Genomic DNA, 16,102 nt, shown 5'->3' on the forward strand with positions numbered 1-16,102 from the left:
CCTCCCCTTGCACTTCTTTCCCCCACCCCTCTCTTCCTTTTTTTCTTATTTTCTCCTTTCCTTCAGTGGAAAATATAGTCACTTAAAAACCTAAACAAGAACTTTGCAGGTCTGTCATTATTGAAAGGAAAAGACATGTTGCACCAAAACTGATAGGACTGTTCTTTCTGATTTCTCCTTGAGCTTACTCTTTTAAAACTTTTCTTCCTATTTTGAAAGAAAAGATGGTATATTGTAAAAACAAAGTCATTTCATACCATTAGATTATGTAAAACAGACTGTTCCACACAAAAGCTGAGAACAGATGACTATAACCATTGTTCCCATTTTATTCTGATAGTTCCACACTTCTTGTTCCACCACACTTTTATAAATGCCATAAAATCTTGAAGTTTAGCACATGTTAGCATGTGAATCAGTGTTTTCCAAATGTATTTTAATGTTTTAATTGATGTAATTAAATATATGATTTTAAACTCTTATGCCTTTTCTCTAAGCTCTTACACAGACATTATAGCTCTGCCTTTTCAGAATCTATTTCAGAAACTAGTAATTGTTATTAGTAGTGTATTGATTAAATATGTCTACATCACTATGGCAAGTACATGGTCTCACTTCATGCACTGTTGTAACGAAATGCTACTATGCCTTGGCCGGGCGCGGTGGCTCACGCCTGTAATCCCAGCACTTTGGGAGGCCGAGGCGGGCAGATCACGAGGTCAAGAGATCGAGACCATCCTGGCTAACACGGTGAAACCCTGTCTCTACTAAAAATACAAAAAATTAGCCGGGCGTGGTGGCGGGCGCCTGTAGTCCCAGCTACTCGGGAGGGTGAGGCAGGAGAATGGTGTGAACCCAGGAGGCGGAGCTTGCAGTGAGCCGAGGTTGCGCCACTGCACTCCAGCCTGGGCGACAGAGCGAGACTCCGTCTGAAAAAAAAAAAAAAAAAAAAAAAGAAGAAGAAGAAATGCTGCTATGCCTTTCTAGGACAAGAGCTCTGTTTACCCATTGAGGAAACCTAGGCTCAAAGGCACTTTTCCCAGCGTTGTATGGTGGAAGGGTAGAGCTGGTATTTGTACCTAGAACTGATCCCAAAGCCCATGTGCTTTATGCAGAACCTTATCATCTATCTAATTATGTGTGAGTCTTAAAACCAGGCACATTATTGCCAGTATTTTTAGTCATTAAGCTATTTGATCTTTGTTCTGTTCTGCAAGTGTGAATACTATTACATCCTGTGATGTATATCTGAGTAATATTCAGTTAGAACTTCCAAGGATAGGAACTGAACTGGTCCTGTAATCTTTCATTTAGAGTTTTAATTTAGTCAGGAGCTCTCCACATCTAGATAACAATTTTTTATTTTGTTTCCTGAGATTAGGAATTATTTATTTGGCCTAAAATTTGAATATTCAGACATTAAACTTATGTGACTTAAAATTATTGGCCTAAAATTTGAATATTCAGACATTAAACTTATGTGACTTAAACTTATTGGCCTATATGTAGATACTCCATAAGTAAAAATTATTAAATTGTATCAGATAGAAACCGCACTTTCTACATTGTGCTCTTTATATTTTTAGGAACTGCAATACAAGAAGGGCAGAAAGTTGTGTTCAAATTAACTAGTCATCATCTTTGCTCAAGTGTCTTACATAGAGAATTAGTCAGTTAATTATATCTACTCCAAATTTTAAAATAATTTCTCTAGTGATGTAATTTTAATTTAACTTAATATTTTCAACATCTTCTCTAAAGATGCTAAGTTTCTTCTGTCTCTAATTTCATCACTACAGTAGCTAGCTAGGTTAAAATTGCATTAACCGAGAACTGACATAGCCTAATTGATCTCTGCCTTGGAAAAATACCTAAGAAATATTTTATTCTTAGAATAATAATTTAACAAATCATACATATGTGTGTGTATATATGTGTGTATATATGTGTGTATATATATGTGTGTATATGTGTGTGTGTGTGTATATATATATATAAATTTCTGGTTCTTTTATTCTTTCTTTCTCTCCGTCTGTCATTTTTTCTTCCTCCTCCCCTTTTCTACTTTCTCATATTTTTACATATTCTAACCCATCTATATCTCTTTCTTCCCACTTAGTTTATGTCTCTCATCAAGGGAATTGATTTGGAGTAAGATACACAAGCAGTAGTTTAGTTTGTTATATGCAGAAAATATCCCCCAGTGAGTTTCCTCTTAAGTAGATTTTTAGCCAGGATCTAGAAAGGTTTATGGCTTAGTACTTTACCCTTAAGGACTCACTGATATTTTCCAGCGTTAGGACACCTGAAATTAGCAGAAGTTTTCAATGATTTCACAGTTAACGGTTCTTCCCGTACCTGGTGGTGTGCTCACTGATCAGTGTCTTGCCCTGTTCACAGTCTGGGATGTCTTGGCTATGTTTAAAGTATGTATGGTCAAAGTCCTGTCAAGTTTATGTTCAATCGACTGACTAACACACACTGTTACACAGACACTCTTTTGGCATTTTTTGCTTATCATTATAACCTGCACTCAGCACTTGGTAGGCACTATGTGAACGTATTTGAGTAATAAAGTGGATTTGTTTTCATGCCTGGTGGACACTCATTAATCAATTGATATTTGTTTCCTTCTGGTTTGATGTTTGACACAGAATCATCTTTCAAACAGTTATGACTAAATTGATTTTACAACTACTTGTAGCCATTATTACTTATTATAACTTTCACAGTTATTTTTAAAAAGACAGGTATAATGGAAATACCATAGGTTCAGAATGAGAACAACCTAGCTTGAGACAAGCCCAGCTCAACTCCTTTAACAGGCCACTTAGTTAACCTCAGTGGGCCTCAGCTTCCTTGGTTAAAAAATGGATCTAATACTGTCTACTTCCCAAAGTGCTTAGAGATGATGTACATAAAGTGCCTAGCCCAAGTAAATGTTTGGTAAAAGGTAGTAATTACTAATTATATATTTTTATATGTTATATAAATGTAAATATGCTGTGTTTTCATTAGTATAGTTCTTATCTGTATGCTGTTTTTACTATAAGCATTAGAAAAGGGCACTGCTCCACAAGAAATCTTAACATCTCCATCTTTTCTCAGCTGATACTGGGTCCCCATCCCCTGGGCTGCGGACCCCTGTTAGAAACTGGGCTGCACATCAGGAGGTGAGCTGCCGGTGAGCCAGTATTACTACCTGAGCTCCACCTCCTCTCAAATCAGTGTGAACCCTGTTATAGTGAACTGTAATGCGAGAGATCTAGGTTGTGCACTCCTTATGAGAATCTAATGCGTGATGATCTGAGGTGGAACAGTTTCATCCTGAAACTGTCCTAACCCCTGCACCCTCCCCCCGATCCGTGGAAAAATTGTCTTCCATGAAACCAGTCCCTGGTGCAAAAAAGATTGGGGACCACTGCCTTAAAGTATCCATTGTATATAATTAATTAACTTCAGATTATTTTCTATATTCTGTGGTTCAGATGGGGAAAGGAAAAAGATAAAATAGAACATAGAATAGAGAGTATAGAGCATTTAAAAGAAATAGAGATTCAGGGTCTCAGAGAGCTCCATCTGAAAGAATATTGGGTCAGGATTATGTCCCTTATTAGCTGCTGTGTCCCTAGGTTGAACATGAGCTTAGCACAGAATAGGTTCTAATATATATTTGTTGAATTATTGGAGTGAATGAATGAATGATCAATGATGGGTGAGAGAAGACCAAGTATTTTTGTGAAGACTGTTTACCTAAACAATTGGTAGGACCATTTGTGAAAACTTAGCTCTGTGCTACATCTGTATGTAGATATACATAGATGTTTGCCCCCTGCTTGTGTTCATCTGTTTAAAGAGTTTTTTATCCAGACACCATACTTCTTTGATCACAATCCCTATAACTCTAAGCTAACATTTTGGCTAGCAATGTAACATGGGGATAATAATTAAAATAACAGTAGCAATTTACAATGCCAGGTACTGTGCTGGGTCCTTTATGTGGATTAATCCTTACAACAGCTTACGATAGTAGATTTTAGACAGTGTGGTTTGGTGGTATACCCAAGATACAGACCAGCCGATCTGACATCAGAACCCATGCTCCTTAATACTGTAATGCAATGCATCTTTTGCTGTGAAGATAGAGATCATGTTGACCATTCCCTGCATTCGATGTTCACTATTCTTCGAGTAAACCATAGGAAAAAATAGCCAGGAGCCTCTTTTTGAGAGTGAAGTTTGTAGTGAACATGTATTGGTTCTCACTGTCCAACATCTCTGCCTTTTTCAAATGAGGACAGTCACTAATATAACTTTTGCAAACTACCCTTTATCCATTAAAGATAGTCTTAGTAGGAGGAACTCTTTTTGGTTTTTACCAGATCACCCATTAATTATTCTCTTATTTCTCAAGATAATGAAATTACAAAACTAAAAGATACTGTGCTCTGGTTACTTCTAGGAGAGGGAAAACACTCTGCTCTCAAGAGAGGATTAACATGAAGAATATGAACACTTGCATGACTCAAAGCTACTGTATTCTTTATGTCTAACACCATTGGTAGGATACATGATAGTTCCTCAAAGTTCTGTGGGGTGGATAAATATTTATATGGGAGGGCGGCTGACTGTACAAGCAAGCTGAGCTTGCCATGATGCTAACTAAGATAGAGTTCTTATAATGCCAGTCTCCACACATGGCCATCACTGTGTGGTGCACTACCACAGAGGAGCACATACACTCAATTCCAGACCTAATGACTTAAATGTCATCTGGATATTTCTTAAACTGTTGTTTCTAATACAATTTTTTTTTTTGAGATGGGGTCTTGCTCTGTCATCCAGACGGGAGTGTGGTGGCATGATTTTTAGCTCACTGCAACCACCGCCTCCTGGTTTCAAGTGATTCTCATGCCTCAGCCTCCCAAGTAGCAGGGATTACGGACACCCACCACCACACCCAGCTAATTTTTGTGTTTTTAGTAGAGATGGGGTTTAACCATGATGACCAGGTCAGTCTTGAACTCTGACCTCAGGTGATCCACCCACCTCAGCCTCCCAAAGTGCTGGAATTATAGGCCTGAGCCATGGCGCTCAGCTGAAAACATTTTTGTTTGAGACAGGGTCTCTCTCTGTCCCTGAAGCCCGAGTGAAGTGACACAATAATAATGCACTACAGCCTCAAACTCCTGGCTCAAGTGATCCTCCTGCCTCAGCCTCCTGAGTAGCTGGGACTGCAGTCACATGCCATCACAACCTGGCTAATTTTTTTTTTTTTTTTTTAGAGATGGGGTCTCACTGAGTTGCCCAGGCTGGTCTCAAATTCCTGATCTCAAGCAGTCCTCGCTCCCTGACTTCCTAAAAGTCTGGGATTATAGGCATGAGCTACCGCACCTAGCCATAAAAACACCTATTTTGATTATATTATTTACTCATTCTTTTTTGTTGTTGTTGTTTCCTAATTGTAGGCTAGTTCACATATATTTATAGATCTCAAATGATTAAAGAATATGTATGAAATGTTGTCTCTTCATTTTTTATTATTTTAAAAAGTTTAATGTGACTACAGAAAATTTGGAAAGTGTTTTACATATTACTATTTCAGTTTTCTGATACAAATGCTAATATCATTCTTGTGATCTTTCCATTGTTTTTCCATATCTCTATAAAAGTATTTTAAATATTTGAAATTATATCTGCAAAATTATCTTTATGTCAGTTGCTTTTTATAAGAAGGGGTTAGAAAGGATGTACTGCACCTCGCTCTTGCACTCCGTGAACACTACTGCCTTTGCATGCTCTAAGTGTTAGAAGCCGGAGGCCTGAAATTGTTTCAGATAAGTGAAGAATAGCTAATAAGAGGTGATGGAATGGAGTGTTTCTTTGATATAAGAAGTCGGGATCCCAATTGTAGAAAAATACAGTTTCATAGATTTAAATGCATTAACTTCAATTGGCATAGTTTTATCATTAAATTGTAAACCATCATGGATAAGGCCAACAGTTTATTACTGATCTTCTCATTATGTAAAACTGTGGGTTATTTTTAGCATTTGGTTCAAAAATTTTTTCTCTTTAAAAACTCATTTTTTTAATTAGTGGATAATAGAAAAAAACACTAATTGAAAAACATAAGTTTTTAACCTTTAATAGGAAAATGTTTTTTCTTTTTTTCTTGCCTGCTAGAAAGTATACATATAAATTTTAATTCTTAATCCTAGTAACCATTTTAGCCTATGCTGTTAGTACATTTGCTTCTATAATACTTTCTCCATATAGGTTTGATTTTCCATTTTTATTTTATCAATCTTACTGCAATGTAATTTTATCAGATATTTTCCTATAAACAGGGTATAAATTGTAAATGAATCTGAATTTTGGATGTGCACCTGATTTTATTTTCAATGATGAGTTTTATGCACAGAGCTTATAGATTTAGCTGTGCTAGCATGTTCTAAAATAGTTCATAGTCTAATTGAAGAGAAAAAAGAATCTTTCTTCTCTATAATCCCATGGAATGCTTTTGCCAGACACAAGAATTCATAACCCTTGTTTTGGATAGGGTGGTCACAGAGCATCTCCAAAATTCTGATGAGAGTTACAGACCCTCTCCTCAGAAAAAATTTATAATGAACACACACACAAACTCATCCGTGTCATAAGCAGTTTCAGAGGTCTACAACCCTATAAACTCCATTGAATTCCTGGTTTAGAGCTGTTGTCTTAGAGTGCAAGAAAAGAGCTAACGTTTATTGACCATAAATTACATACCATTTTGAACCCAAGTGCTGACTGTGTCCAGAGTTATTTCCACTGCCTAATACTGCCATTACCATCACTTCTTCTTACTGCCCCAAAGATCCTCCAAATACTGTTGTCTTGAGTAGTAATACTTGTTGGTTAAACTTTTATCTAATGTTTCTTAAAATATTGGTGCTAATACATATCTAGGTCTTTACCAGTATCAGTATTAGTTAAATTGAAAATGAGATGAAACTCAGCCAAATTATACATCTCTTTGAACACATGGACATGGGGAAGGGAACAACACAAATTGGGGCCTATCTGGGGGTGTGGTGAGGGGAGGGAGAGAATTAGGAAAAATAGCTAATACATTCTGGGCTTAATTTCTAGGTGGTGGGTTGTGAGGTGCAGCAAACCACCATGGCACACGTTCACCTGTGTAACAAACCTGCACATCCTGCGTAACAAACCTGCACATCCTGCACATGTACCCCAGAACTTAAAAATAAAAAATTAAATAAATGAATAAAGAGAAAAAGATACATCTCTTTGCATTTAGTAACTTTTAAGAGGTGAATTTTATGTGTTTGACTTTGAATTACACCCTGAAGATTTTTTTCATCCTAATGAAACTAATGCATAACTAAACCTTGAGCATAGCTGTCAGATGGGGAGAAATAGAAAAATAAACATGACTTTTTAATGATGTAAAGAAAACCTATCCTTAATGAACTCAAGCATGCTGATATAATGTAATACTGAATGAAACCTTTTTACCATCATGAGTGGAACTGCCTGAACTGGAATTGTGTCAACTTAAATCCCTAGCCTCATTTACCCAGAAGTGAACAGAATTAGTTGTTGCTGTATAAAGACATGTTCCTGCTAGGACAGTGTCTGATCCTCTGTCCACAAGATGTGGCAGGTATGGGTTCCCAGGCACATAAAGAGAGATAAGTAATCTGAGTACATGGCATACTGAGTGTGGTCTTTCTCTTTACTAGACATTTGGGCCTGGACCTGGTGCCTCGGAAGGACTTTGAAGTAGTGGACTCGGACCAGATTAGTGTCTCAGATCTCTATAAGATGGTAAGAAATCTAACATGAGGTAGCTTGTTCCTGCATACCTCATTTTTTCTCTTTTGTTTATTTTCTCTAATGTTATGAAACAACATTGCTAAAAATTTGTTTTGGCCTCTTTCCCAGTGTATTTAAGTGATATTCTGGCCATATCTGTCACACTAGCTTTCCAAATAGGATTCCATTGTAGTAAACTACAGATACTGGGCTTACCAAATTATCTAGGCATTACTTCTTTGTTGACTTTCTTGGTGAACCAGAGCTCCTTCAGCCTGCAGCATAACTAAAGTTATGTCTCTTTCCTCTCACCTCTTTAAAAGAGAAAGTAGTTAAAGCTGGAAAGAGCCAATTATTAGGTAATATAGAAATTGAGCCTGGAAATAATGTACTAGTCTTTCTAGAGAGACAGAGCCTGATAGATTCTTAGCTATCTGTTGGTTATTACAAAAATATGTTGGGTCGACTAATCAAGATTACATTTATAGTCTAGATGCAAAGTAAATAAATGAAGGGTACAATATTTTAAAGTAAAATAAATAGAAGAAACCTTAGGTGGTGACAGTTATGCTTAGACTAACAGACTGGATAAAAACTCATCTTGAAGAGTATGTATTTGATGAGTATATATTGGTGAGATTTATAAGTTTTAGAGTCTGTTTAATAAACTGTAATATTTTTAGGGAGCTTAGAGGGTACCAAGTATGTTGCCTGGACAAGGACCTAAGGAAATTTGCCTAAGTAATATGCAAATAACATATCAATTGCTTCTGCACATTTGTTTGTGTGTACTTACTAGCATACCCAAGCAATTGTGTTCAGTTGCTTTAACTATGCTGTATGCAGTACAATAGGTTGATAAGTGTGAGATATAGAGATTAAAGATAGCTGGATGTGGTGGCATGCACCTGTAGGTACAGCCAGCTACTTGGAAGGCTGAAGTGATAGGATCGCTTGAGCTCAGGATTTTGAGAGCAGCTTGGACAACATAGTGAGACCCATCTATTTAAAAAATAAAAAGTATGAACAAGACTTATCTATTCCCTAAAGAATCTCACTATCTAGGGTATTGGTTCCTAATCCCTTTTGGGTCATAGAAGATCAGGTGAAATTTTCTCCCAGGACAATGCAAGTATGCTTTGCATACAAAGTTTTATAATCAGTTTTAGAGAATTGATGGATAGTTTCTCCTGATGCTTGCTCTGAAGCCCATGCATGGACCCTATGTTAGAAACTCTACTCTAGTGGAATCAATAGACCACAGTCAAACAGTTGCCATACGTGTGCTGCATATATGTGCTGTGTAGCATAATTTAAGTATACAATGATGCTCTTAGAGGTAGTGACTGGTTTCCTGGGAGTAGGAAAAGAGAAGGAAAGACATTCCAAAAAGGCACACAGCATATGGAAGTGGCAGTTCCAGGAAACTATAAGACATTTCATAACTTCGGCATAGAGTACCACTAACTCATGTTAGTGAGTGGGAGTGAGGCCAAGAAGGAGGCAAAAGTCAGACCATGAAGAGCTTTGTATTTCTCAAATTAGAGTCTATCGAGTAGTCTGAAAGAAGCATGAGAGTGACATAAGCAGATACTGGTTTCAAACATTGACTCTGTCTAGAGAGAATATAAAATGCAAAAGACTGGAATGAGGGAGGAAAGAGACCCAGAGTAGTGATTCAGGTAAGAAAAATGGCTAGACAGCAATGGACAAGAAATACAATAAGAATGTAGATGTTTGGAATTAAAATTGATAAATTTTGATGATCAATTAGATATGGAAAGTGAAGAGAGAATGAGAGTTTGAAACTAAGAATTCCCCTTGGAATACTGGCTTGGAGGATGCTGTTTTCTTGGTAAAGATTTTGGATTTTATTCTTAGTGTGACAGTAAGCTTGTGAAGGTAAATTGAGCAGGAGAATCACATGATCAGCTTTACATTTTTAAAAGATGCCTTTGCTTGCTGTGTGGAAAAGGATTGGAGTGGGGCAAGAATAGAAGTAGAGAAGAGTCATTCAAGCAGGAGAACTTAATTTCAGTAGCTTGAGCTAGAGCTGGAAGAGTGAAACTAGTAAGAAGTTGTTGGATTCTGAATATATTTTGAAGTTAGAACCATAGTTGTAGATAGATTAAATTGCCATGTGTGTTTGTAGATAGATTAAATTGCCATGTGTGTATACAAGAAAGAGAAAGGTCAGAAAAGAATTATACCTGTGTTTTTGACCTGCCTAATTATATAAAAGTGAAATGGGAAACCTTGTGGAAGAAGCAGTTTGGAGAGTGAAGCAGTAAGGATCTATAGCTGTGATTTTCTTTTCACGTTTGGGATTCCTTTTAGACATCCCACCAGAGATGCTGAAAGTCTAGAGCTCATAAATGAAGTTCAGATAAAACAGTTTTAGAGGCATCATATTACATATGGTATATAAGGCTCTAGGACTGAATTAGATAACCACCTCCTTGCCCAGACCTTCATACAGTGAAACCCAGTGGCCATACAGCACTTCCAGACAACCAAGCATCAATAGACAAAGCTCTCACATAATGTTCACTATTTGGGCGATGGGTACACTTAGAAGCCCGGACCTCACAATTTTGCAATATCCATACAACAAATCTGAATCTTGAAAAAAGAGAGAGACAGAGAGAGAGAAAGAAACAGAGAGAGAGACCAAAATGAACAACATACGGAAGGAACTTGGAAGAAAGAGACAGCCCAGCAGAAGAAAATGGTGATTGCTGTCTGCAGAGAGAAATTAGGAAACAATTAGGAAACAGAGTACAACAATCCAAAGAGCTTTACAAAATTAAAAAGCAGATTACTGGAATACACTTGGAATAAAGGTTAGAAAATAGAGAAAAATCTCCCTGAAAACAGAACAGCAACAAAATAAAGTAACAGTAGGAGAGAAAACGTTTAAAAGTTTAGAGGTTCAATTCAGGAAGCCCAGTATTCAGAAGAGAGAATAAAGAAACAAAGAAAGAAAATTACTGAAGGAATCATATTAAAAACTTTCTCAGAACATGGATATGAGTCTCCAGATTTAAAGGGCCCAATGTAATTATGAAATTTCAGCTCACTAGAGATGGAGATGAGCTTAAAACTTCCAAAGAACAAAATGGATCACATACAAAGGATTTGTTGTAGGAAAAACATTTGGCTTCCTAATAGCAGCATTAAAAATTAGAAATAAGAGCATTACCTTCAAAATTCTGAGGGAATATAACATTCAACCCAGAATTCTATATTTACTCAGCCACATTATAAATCAAGTGGGAGAGTAGCCTAAAGAAAATTTTGGTCACTCAGAGTCTCAAAACAACAATAATAACAATGCTCTTTAACTCCTTTTCAGGAAACTACTGAAGAGTAAGTTATTCCTTCTAAAATGAAGGAGTAAATCAAAAGGTCTACTGTGTGTTATCCAGGAAAGGGATTCTGACACAATGAAAGCCCTCTTTATTTCATTTTCTGCTAAATTTCCTGTCTTTTTATCTCATGTATTTGCTTTTTCATACAATTAGATATGATAAAAAACAATTATAAGAGTCCACACATTTATTAAAAACCACTTAGGATTTATATGTTAAATTGCACAGTAAATGTTTTGGTTAAATCTTAAAAGTTCAAGATTCAAAAGAATATCCTTTTAGATTTTGTGTTAACATGTAAATCTATTACTGGAAATTATGAAGACTTTATATGAAACTTTCTGATTATAATACTTCTTGTCATTGATTTTAGGGAAAAAATCCTGTATGAATAAGATTATACTTAAAGTTTGCACTCATAGCATTTTTTAAATAAAAAATGAAGCCTCCATGCAAATGTTGAATGATAATGATTGATAAAAGTCTCTTTAAATACACAGTTGGATTTTGCATTCTTTTTATTTGTTTGTTTTATTTTGTTTGTTTGTTTTGAGACAGAGTCTGTCTTTGTTGCCATGGCTGGAGTGCAGTGGTGTGATCTGGGCTCACTGCAACCACCACCTCCTGGGCTCCAGCAATCTTCCCACCTTAACCTCCTAAGTAGCTGGGAGTATAGGTGCATGCCACCACACTCAGCTAATTTTTATTTTATTATTATTATTTTTATTTTTTCGGTAGAGATGAGATTTCGCCATGTTGCCCAGGCTAGTCTTCAACTCCTGGGCTCAAGCGATCCTCCCACCTTGGCCTCCCAAAATGCTGGGATTACAGGCCTGAACCACCATACTTAGCAGGATTTTGCATTCTTTATGATGAAAACCAGAGGAAGTCCTTAGTGCTCTTCAATTCTGCATCATAACAACTCTAAATCCATTTTAAACAATAGAGAATTGGTGCTGCGAAAATATAAAGTATTTCAAAAGACACCACAAACTATTTGTGTTAATCTTAGCCATGCATCTTTGTGAAATGTGACACTCAAAAATTACATAATATGAGAGTTTCTAAACTGTGGCAAGATCTAACAGAATGCTTGCATTATAGCCCCCTGCTTCATTATTATCCATCCACATTATCATGTATTGGGATTTGTGTTTGCCTGTTGTCTTCTTGTGTCAATTAATATTTTTAATAGCTCAATGTTTATACATTCATTTCTGGTATAAATCAGTCAATTAGATTATTTACTAAAAATCAGTAATTGTATATGCTTCATCCTTTCATAGATTCTGACTAGATATGCCTTATATTTCCTTGTAAGACTCACAATATTTAACACAATCCCCAACCTATATAGCAGGCAATTAATTTTGTTATTCAGTTGGTTAACATATCCAAAGCTGCATAGTTTCTTTCCATATTGCTAGACTTTTGTAGACCAAATGAACAAGAGACTTTACAGGGCTGAAAATGATTTCTCTACTGGAGAAAAACTGGCAGAGGCAGTAATGTGTTCCATGCATTTCTTAATTAATTTATATTTTTGACATACATTGCTAGGCACTTGTAGTATAAAGATAAATAAGACAGTGTTTTGCTCCCTGGAAGTGCAAAGTCTAGAGTTACGTAGCAAACATGGAAACAATGCATTACAACCCTAATAGAGGTGATGATTACACTGAAAAGGGAGGTATTGGCTGACCAGCTGAAGTCTGGTTGACAAGAGTGCCCTGAAAGAGGTTCCAGAATGCCAGTTCTGATGCCTTTCTCTGGCTGCCCATGTGGTATGCTTTCAGACTAAATCATTCTCTCAAAATTTAATGACTGAAATAAAAAAATTACTTATTATTGTCAACAGGGATGTTTCATACTGAAATTAGCTGCTTCATAAAATCCTTCTGTATATAGTTCTAATTGAAAATTTATGACTACCAAGATTAGTAGTCCTTTTAATTGGTTAACAGTAAATCTACTTGAGAAAAATGGCTTAGTGTAGCTCCTGGATATAAAATAAAACAACGGAATTTATTTTAGTCTAGTAACCTTCCAGTGAGATATGGTCAGTAAACCACAGAAAACCTGATTTGTTTTTGAATGCTTGAATTTTTTTTTTTTTTTACTTTTTTGAAACCTGTTTTATATGTGAATTTTTCTTTTGTGCATATACATTCTATATGATGTTTTGCCCAGCTGGTGGAGACTTGATTTTTATATTTCATATATATCATGGGGACATATATTTCCATGAATGAACATTAATACTCAATAATGATTAGTTAATATTGCTAATATGCACATGGATATTTAGTAATAAGCAAATATAGCTGGTCAGACACATTTAAATTAATATTTAATTGTACTTCTCTTTTATATAGGGTTAAATATATGTGTTTGGAAAAGAAATGGAAACTTCCACTGCCACAACCATTCTTCTTACCCATGTGATATGGAGCAATTCAACAAATGAGTGTGGTACCATACCTCTAGGGTCCAAAAGGAAGCAGGATGAAATCTCTCATTGTTTCGTTTACCAACACCACGCACTGAACATTTGTAAATTCACCATTATTCCTGGCCAGGGTTTACTTCTAAATGTGAATGACTTTCTATAATAACTAATTATAAAAAATAACAATTATACTAATAATAAAAATACCAATTTTGAATAATAATTATCAGCCACTTACAGTATGATAGGTAATATGCTGAGTCAGTCTGCTCAAACTCTGTGAGGTTGAGTTAGGCATAAAATTTTATAGTCACTTTTCAGATGATGAATACACAGATATAAGTGTGAGTCAAGATTCAAAACTAGGCCGGTCATGGTGGCTCACGCCTGTAATCCCAGCACTTTGGGAGGCCAAGGCAGACAGATCACGAGGTCAGGAGATTGAGACCATCCTGGCTAACACGGTGAAACCCCATCTGTACTAAAAATACAAAAAAATTAGCTGGGCGTGGTGGCGGGCACCTGTAGTCCCAGCTACTCGGGAGGCTGAGGCAGGAGAATGGCGTGAACCTGGGTGGTGGAGCTTGCAGTGAGCCTAGATCGCGCCACTGGAATCTAGCCTGGGCGACAGAGCAAGACTCTGTCTCAAAAAAAAAAAAAAAAAATTCGAAACTGGAGGGTTGCAGGGGGTGGTATCAAGATGGCTGAGTAGAGGCACCTGGCACTTGCCTTCTACTCAGTGAGTAATTAACTACATATTGAATAGAGCATCTAAGACAGAATACTGGAGTTCATCAGGGAAGTGACAAGAAACTTCAGAGTCATGGAAGGAGAGGGAAGCAAAGCAGCCAGCCCACCCAGGATAAGCTTGGAGCTAGAAGGAACTCCCCATTGTGGAGAAAAGGCATTGTTCCAGAGAGAGAGTTTGGGCCGGGCCTCACACTACCTCTGAGATTCCACAGAGGTACCACAGAGACACCACAGCACAGTGTCATTTTGAGAGCCTAGCTCCCACCAGACTGCGTTTTTCTACCCTTGGGTCCAACACACCCGAATCTCCACACCCCTGGAGCCCTGCTGACATCCCCCTATGTCCATTCAGAGGGCTGCAGCATCACAATACATACTGGACCCAGCATTGTTCCTGGGTCTCCAGCGCTTTAGCCCACACAGTGACTTATACCCTGGGGAATGGGTGGTGCAGTGCACCTAGGAGACTGCCCCCATGACAAAGAAAGCTAAAACTTGTGCTCCCTAGAACCTGAGAGCTGCATGTCTGGGGCTACTGCCACTGATAGCAACCCTGCTCCCTCCAGTGGCAGAGCCACTGCATACCTGCACACATTCAACACATTCAAGAGGCCTGGGGGACTGGTTCACCTGTGTGCATTGTCCCGGGACCTGAGGACCAATCTGCCCCATACACTGCCATGGGCACATAAGTGCATAGTCCAAGGAACTCACCTGTCACCACCAGTACCCACACATACCTTCCAGGACCTGGGTATTGACTAGCATTCCTCCTGCCACCAGCACCTGTGTTTACCACCTGGGGGCCAGAGGACAGACCTATAGGATAGGTCTGTGGGTAGGCCCACAGCTGTTGTCCCCATGTGCCATCCAGGGTGATCAGCCTGGTGAAACTGCCCTAGCTGTTGCCTGTGTACTAAGGGACCTGAGAGGTGGCACACCACTGCTACTGCCATTGCCAGTGCCATGTGTACCACCACGGGGCCTGAGTACCCACTTGATCATTATCACTAGCACCCAAGCATGCTGCCTGGAGGCCCAAGGACTGACCTTCCACCATGGGGTCCCACATATACCACCTGGGGACCTAAGGACCAGCCCATCTGATCTTCTTGTTCCTAGCTAAGCCTCACCACAGCATCTACTAACAACCACAGTCTAAGTCACTGCAGAACTCACAGACACCACTGACACTGATTATAGCTGAAGAAATCATATGGAGAGTCTGCTACTGCACTCACCTAGAATCAAATCCAAAGCACCCTACCTAACACTAAATATACATCTATAGGAAAAAGTCTTTCCCTATGTAAACCAATCTATAAAATTAGAACAAGCAGCTGTTACACTGGATGCCCACATATCAATGTAAGGACACAAGAAACATAAAAAAGCAAAGATACATGACACTTCCAAACAAAGACAATAATTCTCTAGTAACAGATCCCATAGAAAAGAAAATGAATGAAATCCCTGAAAAATAATTCAAAATAAGATTAAAGAAGCTCAGTGAGATACAAGAGAACACAGATAAACAATAAAAAATCAGAAAAGCAATTCATGAGTTGAAGTTTAACAAAGAGATATGCATCATAGAAAGGAACCAAACAGAAATCCTGGAACTGAAGCTTTAGTGAATGAAAGAAAAAATACAGTCAAGAGCTTCAACAATAGATGAAATCAAGCAAAAGAAAGACTTTCTGGCCAAGCG

At 37.6% G+C, this 16,102-nt stretch overlaps 1 protein-coding gene across 22 annotated transcripts in view; it reads left to right on the forward strand.

Annotated features, from left to right (window-relative positions):
* DOCK3 (dedicator of cytokinesis 3) overlaps nt 1–16,102 on the forward strand; it is a 709,272-nt gene that overhangs the window by 392,681 nt on the left and 300,489 nt on the right. For all 22 annotated transcript variants that reach the window (XM_005264914.4, NM_004947.5, XM_006713010.4 and 19 more), the window contains exon 7: nt 7,749–7,833. In XM_005264914.4, coding sequence (XP_005264971.1) covers nt 7,749–7,833 — 85 coding nt within the window. The remainder of the gene's footprint in view (nt 1–7,748; nt 7,834–16,102) is intronic.

Source organism: Homo sapiens, chromosome 3, assembly GCF_000001405.40.
Source record: "Homo sapiens chromosome 3, GRCh38.p14 Primary Assembly".
Classification (NCBI taxonomy): Eukaryota; Metazoa; Chordata; class Mammalia; order Primates; family Hominidae; genus Homo; species Homo sapiens.